The 22135-nt window shown below is 39.3% G+C and overlaps 1 long non-coding RNA gene across 1 annotated transcript in view; it reads right to left on the minus strand.

Moving 5' to 3' along the window:
- LOC107984235 (uncharacterized) overlaps positions 1 to 14842 on the minus strand; it is a 59254-nt gene extending 44412 nt beyond the window's left edge. The window contains exon 1 of the long non-coding RNA XR_001747457.1: positions 14759 to 14842. This is a non-coding gene — a long non-coding RNA (uncharacterized LOC107984235). The remainder of the gene's footprint in view (positions 1 to 14758) is intronic.
- Between the last annotated feature and the right edge of the window lie 7293 nt (positions 14843 to 22135).

The raw sequence follows: 22135 nt of genomic DNA on the forward strand, positions 1-22135 counted from the left end.
AGTACAATTTTATCTCATACCACGCTCTGCTAGTTGAAAAGCAAAACAGGAAATGTTCATGAGATTTGCTTCAGAGAGAACATTTTATCTTGTTTGGAAGGCAGTTACTAAAGAGAAAAGAGCATGGGCTTTGCCAAAAGTGAGATGAATAATTGAATCTCAGCTCTTCCGTGCACTAGTTGTGTGACATTAATTAAGTTACTTCATCTTTCAGAGACCCTGAAAGGAATCACAGTTACTTCGCAATGTGGTTGTTAAGTATAAATGAATATATGAATGTGCTTAATATAATATACAGCATATTTTAATGTGCAATAAATGCTAGTTTATTTCCACTCTTTGAAACTGAGAAAAAGGCCAAGAGACGTAAAAGGATTCTACTCAACTGTTCAAGAAAAGCATCTGCTCTGTTGTGTTCATCCTATTAGAAAAACCCCCACTTGATCCAACATCTGATCCAGTTTCTTACCCATTTCTTGACTCTGCCTTAGAGCAAATCTCCAAAGAATTAACTATCCTTGCTGCTGCCAATTTCTTTCCTCACTTTCCTTCTCAAACTCATCTCAATTAGGCTTCCCTGCCAAGAGAAAATGCTCTTGATGAGGTCAGTAATGAGCTCTCATGGAGTCCTCCTCCTCTGCTGTTATTACTACTCTCTTGATGACGTTAAGCAATCCTTTGGCCTTAGAAACCACCAATTCTATACTGACAGCCCCAAAATTATTATCTCCTTCCTGAGCATCTCCTTTGAACTTCAGATTCTTACATCCAATTGCCTACTCAACATCCCTACCTTAACATATGACAAATATCTCAAACTTAACATGTCCAAAGCTGAACTCTTAATCTTCCCTTTGAAACCTATTCACCCTAATTCCATAATCTTCCCATCTCAGTCAATGGAAACTCCATCCTTTCAGATGTCGAAAACAAAGTCCTTGAAGGCAATCTGTATCCATGAACTTTCACTGAGTTATGTCACAATAACAACAACAACAAAAATCTAAGAAGCTTAGAGCAACAATTTCTGCTTGCTCATGTTACATATCAGCAGAATGTGGACTGTGACTGTTTCATGCCTTCTCCACTTCAGAATCTAGGCTGAAGGGATACCCCTATCTGGGACATTGCCTTTCTCATGACAGAGGACTGAAGAGGTCCCACATGATGGTGCTTAAATATTCTGCTGGACAGGGGCATATCACTTCCCAATTCACTGCATGGAGCAAGTCACATGTCCAATCCTGGTGACAGTGGGGTGCAAGGATAATTCTCCCAGAGTGATGTGCTCTGTAGGAAGGACCCGCAAATATTTTGGCAATAATACAAGCCACCACAGAATCTTTGACTCCTCTGATTCTGTCAGATCTCATATCCAATCCATGAGGAAATCCAGTAGGTTCTCTCTTTTTTTATTTATTTTTTTTTCAGACAGGGTCTCACTCTGTCACTTAGACTAGAGTGCAGTGGTGCCATCACAGCTCACCGTAGCCTTGACCTCCCAGGCTCAAGCAATCCTCCCACCTTAGCCTCCCAAAGTGCTGGGATTACAGATGTGAACCTCCACACATGGCCCCTGTAGTTTCTATCTTCAAAATAGATCCAGAATGCAACCATTTTTCATCACCTTTAATACCCTTCCCTGGTTCAACATAGCACCATTTAGTGCCTAGAGTATTTATTACATTAGCCCCCAACTGTGTTTCTGCCTTGGCTTCCATACTGCCTGTTCTTAACTCAGCAGTCTGGATGATGCTGTGGAAATATAATCCAGATCATGTCAACCTTCTGCTTAAAACCTTCCTATGTATCTCCATTTCTCTTAAAATAAAAATCAGTCTTTACAATGGGCAATGATCTACAACAGCAGCCCCCAACTTTTTGACACCAGGTAGTGGTTTTGTGGGAGACAATTTCTCTACTGATGGTTGGGGGATGACTGAATGGTTTCTGGATATAACTGTCCCACCTCACATCATCAGGCTTAGAGTCTCATAAGGAGTGCACAACCTGGATCCCTTGCATGCACAGTTCATGATAGAATTTGTGCTCCTATGAGAATCTAATGCCTCCAGTGATCTGACAGGAGGCAGAGCTCAGGCAGTAATGCTCTCTCTTCTGCCTTTCACCTCCTGCTGTTCAGCCTGATTCCTAACAGGCCACAGACCAGTAGGGGTCTATGGCCCGAGGGTTGGGGACCCCTGGTCTACAAGACTTTACATTATCTGTCCAACATTCCCCATGTCCTTCCTAACTTCATCCCCTGATATCTGCCCCCAACAACTTCAATCCAACCACATTTGCCTTCTTGCTTTTCTTTCAATCATAGGTACACCCCAGCCTCAGGGCCTCTGCACTCATTCCTTTTGCTTAGAAATCTTGTCCTTCGAATCTGTGCTGGGCTTACTCCTTCCTGTCCTTTAGGTCTTCAGGGTACCTTCTCAAGCCTACCTCAGTCACCTCATATAAAATTTTAGCTCCTTACCCCATATTAATTTTTGCTATGAAATGATACATTAATTAACAACATCCTATTAATGAAGCAGACTACAATATTTATTGCATTTTAATTTACTACCTAATTTACTTACTGATTACTCTTATTGTTACACTCTGCTAAAATGTAAGCCTCACAAATACAGGAAACTTTGTCACTATTCCCTAGTGAATCCCAAGGTAGAGGTATCTAGAACCCTAAATATGACTAGTTAGACCCAGAGCAGAACAAAGTTGGGTATGTGATAAGTGACTCAATATTTGTTAAAATGAATTCAGTGAATGAATGAAGCTTGTACAATTTTCTTTTTCTGCCTCACCAATTTTTCTCCTTAACATTGTAAAATTTAACTCTTCTGTCACTTAGGAGGTATTCCCATTAAGTATCTATAGCTGATATAAAAATCTTTGTTCTTCATTAAACTTTATACCCTTTAATTTCCCAAAGGAAAAATAATAAGTATTGGATCAAGTAAAATTGAGACTCATTTTGTCAGAGAAAAAGTTTTGCTATTTCTCTAACAGCATTACAACAGTAATATTAACATTTAAAACACTTGGGTGTTTTGTCCAGATTTGAGTCAGTGATGGGGTTTGAGGGAAAGAGGTGGGGACAATTGTTTTCAAACCAATGCTTAAGTCTTAGAGACTTTGTTAAAGAAACCCCAAAATTATTTATCTAGAAAGAGTAGCACCTTAATTATAATCATTTATGAAAGCAATAGCAGATATATATATAAAATAGCTCAGAAAGAAGGAGAAATGATAAATGCATATATTTCCAGATAATACTAAGTTATTTTTTATTTTGAATAAGACCCTATAGTTAAGCTGAGGTATTTTTGCAGCTCTGCAGTCTCCTTGGAGGAAAACCAATTTTTTTGGTTATTGTCTCCTTTTTAATCTTTTCTAAATCAATTGAGCCAATCTCTCCTTAGTATTTCAAATGCCATCATTGATAAAGTCTCAACCAATTCCTCCATATAGTAACAGATATCAAAATAATTAACCAGAGTGGTATGAATATTAAACCAAAAAGTTATAGGTAGAATTAGTACAGAGAAAATAAAATTGTGATAGCAGCCACATTGGTTCTGCATATAATGGACAAGGCCCATGGATAGATTATTGGAATTGACTGGGTAAGACCAAATGTTTGTTTTCTTCATAATGAGAAATACATAAAATGAAAATATTTCAATGAGGATGGAGGAGCTATAGGGCAAAAGGCACCAAGTCATGAAAATGTACAATGGTCATACCACAAACAGTCTATAATTACAGAGAAGACAAGCTGTTCACCCAAAATTCATGGTCTTCCTTTGAGAATGCACAGCTGTTACTAGAAAGTGCCTGTCCAACCAGACCCTCTTGTAACCAGGTGGAACCATGTGACAAGGTCTCATCAGTGGAATGTAAACAGAAAGGATGGCATCCAACAGAATGGGGGCCACTTCTTGGCAATGTGATTAAGAAACAAGTACCTTCCCCTAATCCTTCCTCTTCTGCTAGCTGGAAGCAGACTTGGAGGACCTAGGGGATGGGCACCCAAGGATGGAAGGGGCCTGGGTCTGTGGATCTCCATGAAGGGAAAGCTCAAAGTCTGAAAACTCAAATGGACTGTTATCTTTTAAAATATTCAAATTTGGAAAAGAAAAGCCATGAACATATTCATTCATAGCATTATTTATAACAAAAATGGAAATAAACCTTTATAGCAAGAGATTCATTGAGAAAATCATGGAGTTGCTTCCAATATGGCCAAATAGGAACAGCTCTGGTGTACAGCTCCCAGCAAGATCGACACAGAAGACAGGTAATTTCTGCATTTCCAACTGAGGTACCTGGTTCATCTCATTGGGACTGGTTGGACAGTGGGTGCAGCCCATGGAGGGTGAGCCAAAGCAGGGTGGGGCATCACCTCACCCAGGAAGTACAAGGGGTCAGGGGATTTCCCTTTCCTAGCCAAGGGAAGCCGTGAGTGACTGTACCTGGAGGAATGGTACACTTCTGCCCAAATACTGTGCTTTTCCCATGGTCTTCACAACCAGCAGACCAGGAGATTCCCTCCTGTGCCTGGCTCAGTGGGTCCCAAGCCCACAGAGACTTGCTTGCTGCCAGCACAGCAGTTGAGATTGACCTGGGACACTGGAGCTTGGTGGGCAGAGGGGCGTCCACCATTGCTGAGGCTTGCATAGGCAGTTCTATGCTTACAGTGTGAACAAAGTGTCAGGGAAGCTCAAACTGGGTGGAGCCAACCACAGCTCAGCAAGGCCTACTGTTTCTCTAGATCCCACCTCTGGGGGCAGGGTATATCTGAATGAAAGGCAGCAGACAGCTTCTGCAGATTTAAACATCCCTGCCTGACAACTATGAAGAGAGCAGGAGTTCTCCCAGCACAGCGTTTGAGCTCTGATAATGAACAGCCTGCCTCCTCAAGGGGGTCCCTGACCCCCGTGTAACCTGACTGGGGGACACCTTCCAGTAAGCGCCAACAGACAACTCACACAGGTGGGTGCCCCTCTGGGATGAAGCTTCCAGAGGAGGATTCAGACAGAAATATTTGCTATTCTGCAGCCTCCACTGGTGATACCCAGGAAAACAGGGTCTGGAGTATACCTACAGCAAACTCCAACAGACCTGCAGCTGAGGGGCCTGTCTGTTAGAAGGAAAACTAACAAACAGAAAGGAATAGCATCAACATCAACAAAAAGGACATCCACACCAAAACCCCATCTGTAGGTCACTAACATCAAAGACCAAAGGTAGACAAAACCACAAAGATGGGTAGAGACCAGAGCAGAAAGGCTGAAAATTCCAAAAACCAGAACATCTCTTCTCTTCCAAAGGAACACAACTCCTCACCAGCAAGGGAACAAAACTGGACAGAGAAGGAGTTTGACGAGTTGACAGAAGGAGGCTTCAGAAGGTCGGTAATAACCAAATTCTCTGAGCTAAAGGAGCATATTCTAACCCTTTGCAAAGGAGCTAAAAACCTTGAAAAAAGTTAGACGAACGGCTAACTAGATAAACAGTGTAGAGAAGAGCTTAAATGACCTGATGGAGCTGAAAAGCACAGTAAGAGAACTTCGTAAAGCATACACAAGCTTCAATAGCTGATTCGATCAAGTGGAAGAAAGGATATCAGTGACTAAAGATCAAATTAATGAAATAAAGTGAGAAGACAAGATTAGAGAAAAAAGAGTGAAAAGAAACAAACAAAGCCTCCAAGAAATATGAGACTATGTGAAAAGACCAAATCTACGTTTGATTGGTGTACCTGAAAGTGACTGGGAGAATGGAACCAAGTTAGAAAACACTCTTCCAAATATTATCCAGGAGAACTTCCCCAACCTACCAGGGCAGGCCAACATTCAAATTCAGGAAATACAGAGAACACCACGAAGATATTCCTTGGAAGAGAAGCCCCAAGACACATAATTGTCAGATTCACCAAGGTTGAAATGAAGGAAAAAATATTAAGGACAGCCAGAGAGAAAGGTCAGGTTACCCAAAAAGGGAAGCCGATCACACTAACTGTGGATCTCTCAGCAGAAACTCTACAAGCCAGAAGGGAGTGGGGGCCAATATTCAACATTCTTAAAGAAAAGAATTTTCAACACAGAATTTCATATCTAGCCAAACTAAGCTTTGTAAGTGAAGGAGAAATAAAATTCTTTACAGACAAGCAAATGCTGAGAGATTTTGTCACCACCAGGCCTGCCTTACAAGAGCTCCTGAAGGAAGCACTAAACATGGAAAGGAACAACCGGTACCAGCCACTGCAAAAACATGCCAAATTGTAAAGACCATCGAGGGTAGGAAGAAACTGCATCAATTAACAGGTGAAATAACCAGCTAGCATCATAATCACAGGATAAAATTCATACGTAACAATATTAAACTTAAATGTAAATGGGCTAAATGCCCCAATTAAAAGACAAAGACTGGCAAATTGGATAAAGAGTCAAGACCAATCAGTGTGCTGAATTCAGGAGACCAATCTCACATGCAAAGACACACATAGGCTCAAAATAAAGGGATGGAGGAAGATCTACCAAGCAAATGGAAAGCAAAAAGAAGCAGGGGTTGCAATCCTGGTCTCTGATAAAACAGACTTTAAACCAACAATGATCAAAAGACACAAAGAAGGCCATTATATAATGGTAAAAGGATCAATTCAACAAGAAGAGCTAACTATCCTAAATATATATGCAACCAATACAGGAGCACCCAGATTCATTAAGCAAATTCTTACAGACCTAAAAAGAGATTAGACTCCCATACAATAATAATGAGAAACTTTAACACCCCACTGTCAATATTAGGCAGATCAAGGAGACAGAAAATTAACAAGGATATCCAGGACTTGAACTCAGCTCTGGACCAAGCAAATCTAATAGACATCTACAGAACTCTCCAACCCTATCAACAGAATATACACTCTTCTTAGCAGCACATCGCACTAAATCTAAAATTGGCCACATAATTGGAAGTAAAACACTCCTCAGCAAACGTAAAAGAACAGAAATCACAACAAGCTGTCTCTCAGACCACAGTGCAATCAAATTAGAACTCAGGATGAAGAAACTCACTCAAAACCACTCAACTACATGGAAAATGAACAACCTGCTCCTGAATGACTACTGGGTACATAACGAAATTAAGGCAGAAATAAAGATGTTCTTTGAAACCAATGAGAACAAAGACACAACGCACCAGAATCTCTGGGACACATTTAAAGCAGTGTGTAGAGGGAAATTTATAGCACTAAATGCCCACAAGAGAAAGCAGGAAAGATCTAAAATTGACACCCTAACATCACAATTAAAAGAACTAGAGAAGCAAAAGCAAACACATTCAAAAGCTAGCAGAAGACAAGAAATAACTAAGATCAGAGCAGAACTGAAGGAGGTAGAGATACAAAAAACTCTTCAAAAAATCAATGAATCCAGGAGCTGGTTATTTGAAAAGATCAACAAAATAGAGACCGCTAGCAAGACTAATAAAGAAGAAAAGAGAGAAGAATCAAATAGAAGCAATAAAAAATGATAAAGGAGATATCACCACCAATTCCACAGCAATACAAACTACCATCGGAGAATACTATAAACATCTCTATGCAAATAAACTAGAAAATTTAGAAGAAATGGATAAATTTCTAGACACATACACCCTCCCAAGACTAAACCAGAAAGAAGTTGAATCTCTGAATAGACCAATAACAGATTCTGAAATTGAGGCAATAGTTAATAGCTTACCAACCAAAAAAGGTCCAGGACCAAATGGATTTACAACCAAATTCTACCAGAGGTACAAAGAGGAGCTGGAACCATTCCTTCTGAAACTATTCCAATCAATAGAAAAAGAGGGAATCCTCCCTAACTCATTTTATGAGGCCAGCATCATACTGATTGATAGGAAAGCCTGGCAGAGACACAACAAAAAAAGAGAATTTTAGACCAATATCCCTGATGAACATCAATTCAAAAATCCTTCATAAAATACTGGCAAACCGAATCCAGCAGCACATCAAAAAGCTTATCCACCACGATTAAGTCAGCTTTATCCCTGTGATGTGAGGCTCGTTCCACATACACAAATCAATAAACATAATCCATCAAATAAACAGAACCAAAGACAAAAACCACATGATTATCTCAATAGATGCAGAAAAGGCCTTCAACATAATTAAACAGCCTTACATGCTAAAAACTCTCAATAAACTAGGTATTGATGGAACATATCTCAAAATAATAAGAGCTATTTATGACAAACCCACAGCCAATATCATACTGAATGGGCAAAAGCTAGAAGCATTCCCTTTGAAAACTGGCACAAGACAGGGATGCCCTCTCTCACCACTCCTATTCAACATAGTATTGGAGGTTCTGGCCAGGGCAATCAGTCAAGACAAAGAAATAAAGGGTATTAAATTAGGAAAGGAGGAAGTCAAATTGCCTCTGTTTGCAGATGACATGATTGTATATTTAGAAAACCCCATCATCTCAGCTCAAAATCTCCTTAAGCTGATAAACAACTTCAGCAAAGTCTCAGGATACAAAATCAATGTGCAAAAATTACAAGCATTCCTATACACCAAGAACAGACAAACAGAGAGCCAAATCATGAGTGAACTCCCATTCACAATTATTACAAAGAGAATAAAATACCTAGGAATCCAACTTATGAGGGATGTGAAGGACTTCTTCAAGGAGACCTATAAACCACTGCTCAATGAAATAAAAGAGGACACAAACAAATGGAAGAACATTCCATGCTCATGGATAGGAAGAATCAATATCGCAAAAATGGCCCTACTGCCCAAGGTAATTTATAGACTCAATGCTATCCCCATCAAGCTACCAATGACTTTCTTCACAGAATTGGAAAAAACTACTTTAAAGTTCATATGGAACCAAAAAAGAGCCCCCAGTGTCAAGACAATCCTAAGCAAAAAGAACAAAGCTGGAGGCATCACACTACCTGACTTCAAATTATACTACAAGTCCACAGTAACCAAAACAGCATGGTACTGGTACCAAAACAGAGATATAGACCAATGGAACAGAACAGAGGCCTCAGAAATAACATCACACATCTACAACCATCTGATCTTTGACAAACCTGACAAAAACAAGCAATGGGGAAATGATTCCCTATTTAATAAATGGTGCTGGAAAAGCTGGCTAGCCATATGTAGAAAACTGAAACTGGATCCCTTCCTTACACCTTATACAAAAATTAACTCAAGATGGATTAAAGACTTAAATGTAAGTCCTAAAACCATAAAAACCCCAGAAGAAAACCTAGGCAATACCATTCAGGACAAAGGCATGGGCAAGGACTTCATGACTAAAACACCAAAAGCAATGGCAACAAAAGCCAAAATAGACAAATGGGATCTAATTAAACTAAAGAGCTTCTGCACAGCAAAAGAAATTATCATCAGAGTGAACAGGCAACCTACAGAATGGGAGAAAATTTTTGCTACCTATCCATCTGACAAAGGGCTAATATCCAGAATCTACAAACAACTTAAATAAATTTACAAGAAAAAACTAAACAACACATCAAAAAGTGGGCAAAGGATACGAACAGACACTTCTCAAAAGAAGACATTTATGCAGCCAACAAACATATGAAAAAGTGCTCATCATCATTGGTCATTAGAGAAATGCAAATCAAAACCACAATGAGATACCATCTCACACCAGTTAGAATGTCAACCATTAAAAAGTCAGGAAGCAAGAGTTGCTGGAGAGAATGTGGAGAGATAGGAAAGCTTTTACACTGTTGGTGGGAGTGTAAATTAGTTCAACCATTGTAGAAGACAGTGTGGTGATTCCTCAATGATCTAGAACTAGAAATACCATCTGACCCAGCAATCCCATTACTGGGTATATACCCAAAGGATTATAAATCAAGCTACTATAAAGACACATGCACATGTATGTTTATCCCAGCACTGTTCACAATAGCAAAGACTTGGAACCACCCCAAATGTCCATCAGTAATAGACTGTATAAAGAAAATGTGGCACATATACACCGTGGAATACTCTGCAGCCATATAAGAGGATGAGTTCATGTCCTTTGCGGGGACATAGATGAAGCTGGAAACCATCATTCTCTGCAAACTATCACAAGGACAGAAAACCAAACACCGCATATTCTCATGCATAAGTTGGAGTTGAACAATGAGAACACACGGACACAGGGAGGGGAACATCACACACCGGGACCTGTTGGGGGGTGGGGAGTGGGGGAGGGATAGCATTAGGAGAAATAACTAATAATGTAAATGACAAGTTGATGGGTGCAGCAAACCAACATGGCACATGTATACCTATGTAACAAACCTGCACGTTGTGCACATGTACCCTAGAACTTAAAGTATAATAATAAAAAAAGGAAATCATGGTTTATTCACTTAGATTGGTCATTATGTATTAAAGCTGAAGAAATTTATATAAAATATACCCTGGAGCTGGTGAGAGTGTAGTTGGAGAGGTGGTGAGGACAGATGGGTACACAGATGATTGAGAGAGAAGGGGCCAGGGGATACAACAGAGAGGGCGAGAAAGAGAGAGGAAAAAAAGCAGAAAGGAAGAAAGAAAATGGGCAAATCACTAAAAACCTGAGCTTAAGGAGAAGAATCATGTTATACTCTGAGCCCACAGACACACACACACACACATACACACACACACAAATACACACACACACACGCACAAACACAAAAGATGCTCTCATGTCTGAGAGGTTTCAACTGTCGATGGAAGGCTTCCTCACTCATGCAGTTTGGGTGACTGGTGGTTCTTCCCCACCATTTCCTGGAAGCCAGACTTCACAAATAAGGCTAAGATCAAAGGAACTCAAGCTTTCACCCTTTATACTTTAGTGGCTTAGAAATGAGTACGCTTTCACCTATCATGTACCTCTCCCTGTCATCAGTCGCTTTCTTTCAGGAATGATGGCACTCTACTTCCTTCTAGAATATAAGCTCCTTAGGAGCAGGGTCATGTCATTTGCAACTCTGCATCCATACTGGTGCTAGCACATAGCAGGCTCTCCATTGACTTATTTAGTAATTTATTCTACAAAAGTTGAACATGCCTACAATGTGCCTGGCCTTCTTCTAAGCCCCGGGTGCAGGACTGTGAGCAGTCACCGCCCTCATGCAGTGCATGACCAGTGGAAGCATGTGTCAGGTTGGTGCTACCTGTTTCCTCCCTCCCTGACACAGAATCCAACTGGGCTTCAGGACATAATTACAACACTTCAAAAATAGATTTAAGAAACTGTCCACTACATACTCACTAGGATGGCTATAAGAAAAAAAGATAGATGATAACAAGCGGGGAATATGTGGAAAAATTGGAACCCCCATACATCGCTGGTGGGAATGTCCAGTGGTACAGCCATTTTGGAAAATAGTCTAGCAATTTTTCAAAAGGTTAAAGATAGAATTACCAATGGCACAGCAATTCTACTCCTAGATGTATACCCAAGGAAAATGAAAACATATGTTCACAGAAAAACTTATACATGAATGTTCATAGCAGAATTAGTCCTAATAGCCAAAAATGAAAACAACCAAAATCTCCATTCATAGGTGAATGGATAAATAAAATGTGGTATACCTGTACAATGGAATATTACACAACCACAAAAATGAATGAAGTAGTGATACATGCTACAATATGAATAAACTGTAAAAATATTATGCTAATGAAAAGAAGTTAGTCACACAGGACCACATATTGTATAATTTCATTTATATGAAACTCCCAGAATAGGCAAAGCAATTGAAACAGAAAGGAAATTAGTGATCGCCTAAGCCTTGGGATAAGTTGGGGAAATAGGGGGTGGTGATAGCTAAGGAGAATGGGACTTCTTTCTAGGGTAATGAAAATGTTCTAAAATTGATTATGGTGATGATGATTACACAAGTCTGTAAATATACTAAAAAACATTTAATTGTATGAATTATATTATCTGCAAATATATCTCAATAAAGCTGTTTTAATAATAGAAAAACTTGTTCAATGAATAAAATATTAGTCTTTGGTTTGAAGGTTGGGTGTTTGGAGTTAGCAGGAAACCTTCTACATGAAGTTTGACAATGATTTTGAGAATCTAAAGCTCCTTTCAACACAACTCAATGGTGTTAGCAAGAGAGTAATTCAATTCATCATAGATTTTTAACGTTTTTAAAAAACTGATAATTGGCATCCCATGACAATAAACTGTCTTTTTTTTTTAATGGCAGAGGCATTAGAAAAAGTCACCAGCTCTTTTTTCAGTAGAAATACAATATCCAAAGTTGCACAGCTGGAGTACATCAATAGACTGAACGTTTTTGCTTCCCTGACAACTGTTAGCAACAATGAGTCAGACAGGAAACAGCTAGCCCTGTCTTTCTGTCCAGCTGGAATACACTCATTAAATAATAGATGACAACAGAAGTAATGTTAGCAATATTTCAGTATAAACCTTAAAGTAAAATAGTAATTTAAAAATCTGTAGTGGATAATGCAATATGTATATTACAGAATAGTGTGTTGGGAGCATATTTGTTTCTACAACAAAAATGCCAATGAAAACATGGGTTTTATCATTTGCAGCATTCTAAAGTTAGTCCATTAGCTGAGTTATGACACTGAAGGTTAGACTAGCTCGGAAGGGAATTGGCCATTTATTTGTGTCCCGACCACAGGCAATCTGCCCTTCCTAGATGATGGGAGAGGAAGAAGCTGTGGCCTGTGGCCTCAAGGGGTCTCATTTCAGTGCCTGGTGTGGCTGCAGCTTTTCAGCCTGCTGGGAGGGATGGTGTTTCATACCCAGGGGCAGGTCAGCCTGAGGAACGCTGTGTGCCCTCACCACATACACTATCCCATTGCAGCAAACCCTTGTAATGTTTACTTTATAGTTTTGTTGATATGATCTCAACACCATTTCCATGTTTTATTCTGACAGGGCCTTGCCCTGGGTTCAGTGTCTGTGTCTGTTGATTTAGACACTTCCATGGTATGCAGAGATCACAAAACTCTCTTTTCTAAAACTAAGGCTGGCTACAACACTAGGTAAACTGGTTCAAATGGCACTCTTTGTTTACATTCAAAATGGGCTTTTGAATGTCAACAAAGAAGTCCTCTCGGGTGGCAATGCTGCACATTTGGCATTATTTCTTTATTTTCTACTATTAGTTCTAAGGAATAAAATCTTGTCCTTGCCACAATCCCATGCAAATAATAGCAGAGAGCCTTATTAGTAATGGAAAGTCAGGATTGATACACCTGGTTGAGATACATTTTGACACAGATCAAAGTCCTCCCTGAGCACTCAGTCAGCTGTATGCTCAAGGGCAAGGCTTTCATCCTCTCTGTTCCTATAAAATGAAGGGATTAAATTACATGCTTTCTAAGGTCCTTGCTGCCTCTAAGGTATTTTTCCTTTAACTCAGCTAGAAATGGCCTCTGTAGAACCCAATCAACTCTGTTTCTCATTAATATGCAAAATTATTATTATGTGAGAAATTGGCTCTTGGTTACTCATTCAAGAGAAATAATCAGAATTCATAGCAAATGGCACTTATCTTATTGCATTTAGGATTTTGGCTTTAATTTGAGACTCCCTTCCCGAAATGCAAAATGAAAGAATTTAAAACAAGCAACAGCTAAAAGATTCCTGGCCAAGAAATTGCTTCGGCAGCATCTTGATTTCTCAACTCATTTTTTTAGACCTTTCTCTGCAGTTGTGTTCTGGCAAATCTGATGGAATCAATATGTCCTTTATGGCCAAACTGTTTTCTGGCTTCATCTAATCATCTGTTCTAGAAAAAGCCATTAAGTCGGTAAAAAGAAGTTGGGGAAAGTTTTACTGCAGAGAATGAGGTGTTTTTTTTTTTTCCAATACAAAACACTGACCCAAGAGGAAAAGTGCGCATGTAGGAGTTTCAGAAATCAAAGTCAAGATCAGTCTTAACCATGAGCAGAGTTAACTGTGGCCCTGTCATGTGTTGGTCTAGTGAAGACTACGACAATAAACTTTTTTCCTCCCTGACTTTCACTCAAAACCTCAGAATACAATAGGAAATATCTCCTTTAGATCAGCAAACATCCCATTTTAAAATATACATTTTCTGGTGAGGTGTCAGAGAGGAAGATGAGCACGCAGGTGAGGAGTTCAGGGCACTGCCGGGAGTGGTGAGATTGCAGTGCTGGGCTTTTGGAAAAATCCCCCAAGAACATCAAACAGCAAAAAAGAAAATATCTCCTGAGACAAATCTCCTCACATTTTGGGTTTCATTTCTTCCTCAATAATCTTGATATTTGTTTTTCATTCCAAACCATCTCATATACTTGTAGGAGAAAGGCAAAGTATGAAATTGAACTATTAACTAGGGCTGGGTGCTGGCTGAAGCAAAAAGATGGCTGCTCTTTCTTAAAGTTGAAAGGAAAAGCCTTTGCCCTTTCTTATTTGAAAAGATTCTGTAGTTGTAAAAGCCTTTTGAGGCCCAAACTTTGAAGAGACAAATTCTGTGTTTTGTTTTGTTTTGTTTTCCTAGCAGATGTGCCTCTAAACAAACCAAAACAACAACCCCTCTTCTTGAGTGGTGGTACCATCTTTCCAGATTCTGCCTTTAAAAAACTTAGACGATAAGCAGAGTAGTAGGAGGCTCAGTCCTTTGATTGTGCTGTATTACAGGCACACCACACAGCTCGGGGCTGTTCTGGGCACAGAGAAGCTCCACTTACCCTGATTCTGCAGAGTGAGGAGGAGTGGCAGCAGCACTGGTTTTCTCCCCTTTCAGAGACGCTTCACTCGCGGAAGTCAGTGCTCAAGCACGCTAACCAGACAGACAGAAAACCTTGGCTGGGTTGTATCCAGCCACTGTAACCCAGGCCCAACCCCTGCAACGTCATCGTTCGCCTCAGCAAGGGGCAGCTTTGGTTCGGAGGAGAGTCAGTAACAGAAACTACAGAAATGGAGCCGATCGACAGCCAGGCCCTTGAGGGATGCTGAGCTGAAGCTACCTAGGATGCTGTAGGCTTCTAGTATGAGACCCTCAGATCTATCGCTGGTACAGAGCCCGTGCGTGAAGACATAATTTGTGTTCTCATCAACTCACCATCTCCATGAAGCCTCCCCAGACCCCTGAAACCCACGTCGATCTCATCATGACTGCCTCCCTTCAACTTTCAGCGCTTTCAGTGTTCATCTCGCCTACTGATGCCAGTTGTTTAGTGTGGCTCACTCAAGGACTTTGAGGGAAAACATCCTGAGCTAGTTTGGGGCCTCGTAGGAAAGAGTCCCATGACGCCATGGCTGAGTAGGGATGTCCACCATGAGCGGACAGGAAGCAGAGCAGTGATATTCCAGCCACATTTCCTGGCAGTGTGCCGATGACATTCTCACTTACCTTAGTTCCCAGTGGGGAGATGAAGTCCTTCAGCTCTAAGGCCATGTATTCTGCCTCTCTTGTACTCTCCCCCAGCGCCCAGCACAGTGCTAGAAACATTTATTTACTTGTTTTGAATTGTCATTGCAAACTTTCAGCAATTCTAGAATCACTGGCACAGAGTCTGCACGACCATTCTATTGGTTTGCTACGCAATCTCAGTAATCATCTCAGAACCTTTCAAATCACATATCCTTTCTCTCTCTCGCTCTCTCTCACTCTTTCTCTCACTGCATTAGTACAGATGATTGGGGTGATAAAATGCCACACATTAGAGAACATTGACATATGGTATATAATCAAGTGCCTAATTACGTGGCACACATTGCAGGAATTCAGGGATAACGAACATCGGTATGTAGGCATACCCAGTTTGTGAGTGGGTTCTCTTGTTTCACAAATATTTATTGAGGGACTGTTATGCGCCAAGACAGTGCTAGGCACTAGAAACAATTATCTCAAAATAATAAGAGCTGTCTATGACAAACCCACAGCCAATATCATACTGAATGGGCAAAAACTGGAAGCATTCCCTTTGAAAACTGGCACAAGACAGGGATGCCCTCTCTCACCACTCCTATTCAACATAGTGTTGGAAGTTCTGGCCGGGGCAATTAGGCAGGAGAAGGAAATAAAGGATATTCAATTAGGAAAAGAGGAAGTCAAATTGTCCCTGTTTGCAGATGACATGATTGTATATCTAGAAAACCCCACCGTCTCAGCCCAAAATCTCCTTAAGCTGATGAGCAACTTCAGCAAAGTCTCAGGATACAAAATCAATGTACAAAAATCACAAGCATTCTTATATACCAGTAACAGACAAACAGAGAGCCAAATCATGAGTGAACTCCCATTCACAATTGCTTCAAAGAGAATAAAATACCTAGGAATCCAACTTACAAGGGACGTGAAGGACCTCTTCAAGGAGAACTACAAACCACTGCTCAATGAAATAAAAGAGGATACAAACAAATGGAAGAACATTCCATGTTCATTGGTAGGAAGAATCAATATCGTGAAAATGGCCATACTGCCCAAGGTAATTTATAGATTCAATGCCATCCCCATCAAGCTACCAATGACTTTCTTCACAGAATTGGAAAAAACTACTTTAAAGTTCATATGGAACCAAAAAAGAGCCTGCATCGCCAAGTCAATCCTAAGCCAAAAGAACAAAGCTGGAGGCATCACGCTACCTGACTTCAAACTATACTACAAGGCTACAGTAACCAAAACAGCATGGTACTGGTACCAAAACAGAGATATAGATCAATGGAACAGAACAGAGCCCTCAGAAATAACGCCGCATATCTACAACTATCTGATTTTTGACAAACCTGAGAAAAACAAACAATGGGGAAAGGATTCCCTATTTAACAAATGATGCTGGGAAAACTGGCTAGCCATATGGAGAAAGCTGAAACTGGATCCCTTCCTTACAACTTATACAAAAATTAATTCAAGATGGATTAAAGACTTAAATGTTAAACCTAAAACCATAAAAACCCTAGAAGAAAACCTAGGCATTACCATTCAGGACATAGGCATGGGCAAGGACTTCATGTCTAAAACACCAAAAGCAATGGCAACAAAAGCCAAAATTGACAAATGGGATCTGATTAAACTAAAGAGCTTCTGCACAGCAAAAGAAACTACCATCAGAGTGAACAGGCAACCTACAAAATGGGAGAAAATTTTCGCAACCTACTCATCTGATAAAGGGCTAATATCCAGAATCTACAATGAACTCAAACAAATTTACAAGAAAAAAACAAACAACCCCATCAAAAAGTGGGCAAAGGATATGAACAGACACTTCTCAAAAGAAGACATTTATGCAGCCAACAGACACATGAAAAAATGCTCATCATCACTGGCCATCAGAGAAATGCAAATCAAAACCACAATGAGATACCATCTCACACCAGTTAGAATGGCAATCATTAAACAGTCAGGAAACAACAGGTGCTGGAGAGGATGTGGAGAAATAGGAACACTTTTACACTGTTGGTGGGACTGTAAACTAGTTCAACCCTTGTGGAAGTCAGTGTGGCGATTCCTCAGGGATCTAGAACTAGAAATACCATTTGACACAGCCATCCCATTACTGGGTATATACCCAAAGGACTATAAATCATGCTGCTATAAAGACACATGCACACGTATGTTTATTGCGGCACTATTCACAATAGCAAAGACTTGGAACCAACCCAAATGTCCAACAGTGATAGACTGGATTAAGAAAATGTGGCATATATACACCATGGAATACTATGCAGCCATAAAAAATGATGAGTTCATGTCCTTTGTAGGGACATGGATGAAATTGGAAATCATCATTCTCAGTAAACTATCGCAAGGACAAAAAACCAAACACCGCATGTTCTCACTCATAGATAGGAACTGAACAATGAGAACACATGAACACAGGAAGGGGAACATCACACTCTGGGGACTGTTGTGGGGTGGGGGGAGGGAGGAGGGTTAGCATTAGAAGATATACCTAATGCTAAATGATGAGTTAATGGGTGCAGCACACCAGCATGGTACATGTATACATATGTAACTAACCTGCACATTGTGGACATGTACCCTAAAACTTAAAGTATAAAAAAAAAAAAAAAGAAAAGAAGCAATGGCCAGCAAAACTGGCACATGGGACTGTTTCATACCTGATCCTGTGACATTTACAGGCTCTTCCACTCCCAGTTGTGTGGACATATATGGGTACCCAGAGCAGGGAGCAGGCTACTGCCACCCTGAACCACCGAATGGGGACCTCAGTGCCCAGTTTCCAGCAAACCATCTTCCACACAATAGGCAATCACCTTTTCAAGTTTTTTCACCATAGGTTAGTTCTGCGTATTCTACGAGTTCATATAATTGGAATCATATAGTATGCACTCTCTTGTGTATGGCTTGTTTCACTCAGAATATTGCATTTAAGATTCATCCATACTGTTGCATGCTATAGATGTTTGCTCTAGTATTGCTGAGTAGTATTCCATCACATGGATGTACCACAATTCACAATGTACCACTGCTATTCGTGAACATCTGGACTATTCCCAGCTTGGGGGCCTACTCCCTTCTTGCCTCTCATTTTGCCTTCTGCCTGCTTATATGGGCCGTCCTCCCGTATTGAAGAGACTGGTCCATGGAGACAAACTGACAAGGGTTGGAGCTACTTGCAGAGTGACATTAACAAGTTGTTAGGCTTCTCTGACTCTCCATTTGCTCTTCTGGGGACAATAGTGATAACACCTAGTAATACCTTAGAGTGGGAAGGAACTCAAAGAACCAGAACCTGGAACATCGCAGTATTTAATAATAACAGCTTTATTTTTATGACTATTATATTAGTTTCCTATGGCTGCTATAAGCAAGAACCACAAACTTGATAGCTTAAAATAACAGCAATGTATTCTCTCACAGTTCTGGGGTCTAAAAACCCAAAATCAAGGTGTAGGCAGACTCACACTGTCTTTATAGGCTCTAGAGGAAAATTTGTTCCATGTGTTTCTCTGAGCTTCTGGTGTTGACAGTAAACCCTGCGGTTATTTGGCTTGCAGGCACATCATTCCAGTCTCCACCTCCATCTTCACATGCATCCTTCCAATGTTTTTTGTCTCTGTGTCTCTTCTCTTTGTGTCATAATGACACCAGTCATACTGGAATACAGGTCCACCCTACTCCAGTATGACCACATTGTACCTAATTACATCTACAATTACCCTATTTCCAAATAAAATTCACATTCTAATATTCCAGGAAAAGCATGAATTTGAGAACATTATCCAACCCGGTACAACTACTCCCCAACTAAATTGTAAAATAATTTACTTAAAGGATTGTGTTTTATATCATATTCCTGTGCGTCCCTCAGTGGTCAATAAATGTTTAAGTGAAGCAGAAATGGATAATGATGATGGATTTAAGCTCTACTTTGAGGATTGGTAAGAAGAAAAGATCAAACAGCAGAATAAAGCATAGAATTTTAGCCTCAGTTTCTGTAGATTTCATTGTATATTTTTTGGGAAGTTTTGGAGTCAAGAAACTAATATACTTCCACAAGAAGTTAGCATTTTCATGTAGCTAATCAGAGATTCATGTTGTTCCACCTAGGAGACTTAATAAAAAAATAAAGTTAGAAAAAGATTGAAAGTGATTTTCAGATTTTATTTCAGCTATAGTAAGACATTTCTTTAACATTTGTTCTCAGATAAAACAGTGCTCTGACATTCTCCTAGACCTGGTGAATTCCCTCTAGGAGCAGAGGTTGCTGAAGTATATAAACACTGCACCACAAAATCATTCCCTTCCCAGTTCTTCAGGTAAGAACGGAAAAAAAAATAAAGTTCAAATTCCCTGTTTACACAAGGGTAGATATTAATAGGGACCACATATATCCTGATTTATTTTGTACCTTCTCTGTTGTTTACGTAACTTTGCCCTGATGGCCAAATTCCATAGGAGTAGGGTATGCCAAGTGTTAGAATTACAATTAGATATAAATTAGACAAAGTTTCAGTCTTATTATCAATAATATCCAATTATAGACATATAAAGGATATATGAAGCCTACCTGGTTCTTCTTATGGTCTTCAATCACTTTCTAGAATAAAAAGATATAAAACCTCCCCAGTAGTGTTATATCTCAAAGATTATGAAACATTTCTAGTAGCAAAAAAAAAAAAAAAAAAAAAAAAAATACCCCACAAAATGACCATTTTCTCATTGGTAGTCTTCTATGTTGTTCTGCAACCTGGTTATAGGAATATACATTTTTCCTAAAGGACTCAATAAAAATGCTTTTATTTTGAAAGTAAGCAAAATAAACCTAAAAGCATTTATATTTTTCTGAACTCACAACAGTTCTAAAGTAGTTTCTCTTCACCCCACTAAAATAATTGCTTGAAAGTTTGCCTAACTATCCAAACCAATTCCCACACGTCATAAGAGAAAAAAAACAGCAAAGCCAACTATATAGTTAAGCAAAAAAGGCCACCTGCTTACATAGTGAAGGTATGGAGCAAAAAAACAAAGGAGCTCCTCGCATGTCAAATATGATCCATGCATGCTCTTCCACTTTTACTAAATTTTGTCAATTATAATCTAGTTTGATTTAAGCCTCAAAGAGTTAGATTAAAATTCAAACTCTTGCTGAGAGAGATAACAAATAAATAAATAAATAAATACCTAGACATTTACATGTCTAGGTAAATTTATAATATCAGATGATGCCTTGGTAAGGACCTGAGAGAATGAGACCTTGTGCAAATACATTTTTACAAGTAGGAGAACTACATTTGCAATACTCCTTATGGTTCACAGAGTATCTCCTTATTTTTTTCGTAATATCTTTATAAGAATCCAATAGAGAGGTTTTTTAAAAATTGATGTTAAATTCACATAACATAAAATTAAGGACTTAAAAGTGTACATATCAGTGGCATTTAGTACATTCACAATGTAGTGAAATTACTTCCTCTATCTAGTTCCAAAACATTTTCATCATTCCAAAATAAAACCTCATACCCATAAAGCCGGTGCTCCCCATTTCCGCCTCCCCTCAGCCCTAGGCAACCAGCAATCTGCTAACTTTATGGATTTACCTCTTTCTGCTGTGTCACATCTATAGCCATTACATTATGCATGACACAAAACATTAAGAAAATATTCTCTCAATGTTCGAATATTATTCTCTCATTCAACAAAGAAGTCACTCATGTCATTGACAGATGGAATAAGTAAAGTTCCAATACATGACATTATATTTAGTTTAATGAATTTGTATGCATATGAGAAATAGGCTAACAGTGGGCCGAATATAATACTTAATGACAATAAATTTATTGTGAAAAGAATTAAAGCATTGGATGCAACTTCATTTGTCAAATCATTGTTGAATTACAACATTTGGCTAAGGATACAAGAATTAGACAAAAATCAACAAAAAATTCTGGCAGAATCAGTTAGCTATGTGGAATTCACAATGAAGAGTATTTTTATGATAGTTTTTAAATGTGGCTACAAATTCTGAACAATAAAATTGTAATAATTTGTGTATGTATATATGAATATTTTGGGAAAACTGGTTATTAGACATTTACCAGTACAGCAATACCCTCAAGCATTAATGACTTGAGTCTTTAAAAAGAGAAGAAGAAGAATACTGATTGCATAAGGTTAGCATGAGTTTCTCCTAGTGCAATTTCTGGCAAAGAGTAAGAGCGGTAAGGGTTAGCTATTGTTATTTACAGACAACCAAACTGAAGTTCATTGGAGTTAAGTAATCAGCCAAAGGTAGTTTAGTTTGCAAAATTATACACTCTACTATAAGCTTCTTGAAGACATGGACTTCATCTCATTCAACTGGAAGACATTCCCAGCACCTTGAGAAAAATTCACGTATTTGATACTCCAATGTGCTACAGAAAATTATTTTGAGGATTCTAATCCAGAAGAAAGAGCACTAGATTGATTGTTGGGAAGACTGGGCTTGGGTGTCACCGTTGCCACTAATTCAAGAGAGAATTTTCACAAACCATTTATTGATCATCTCAAACCCTTCACATTTGTGTTCAACTTTGATCACCCTAAAATTTGTACTAACACATTTATACTGTTATAGCAGTATCAGTCAGACTCAACCGCAAGCTTAGCAGGTCAT

Source organism: Homo sapiens, chromosome 10, assembly GCF_000001405.40.
Source record: "Homo sapiens chromosome 10, GRCh38.p14 Primary Assembly".
Taxonomy (NCBI): Eukaryota; Metazoa; Chordata; class Mammalia; order Primates; family Hominidae; genus Homo; species Homo sapiens.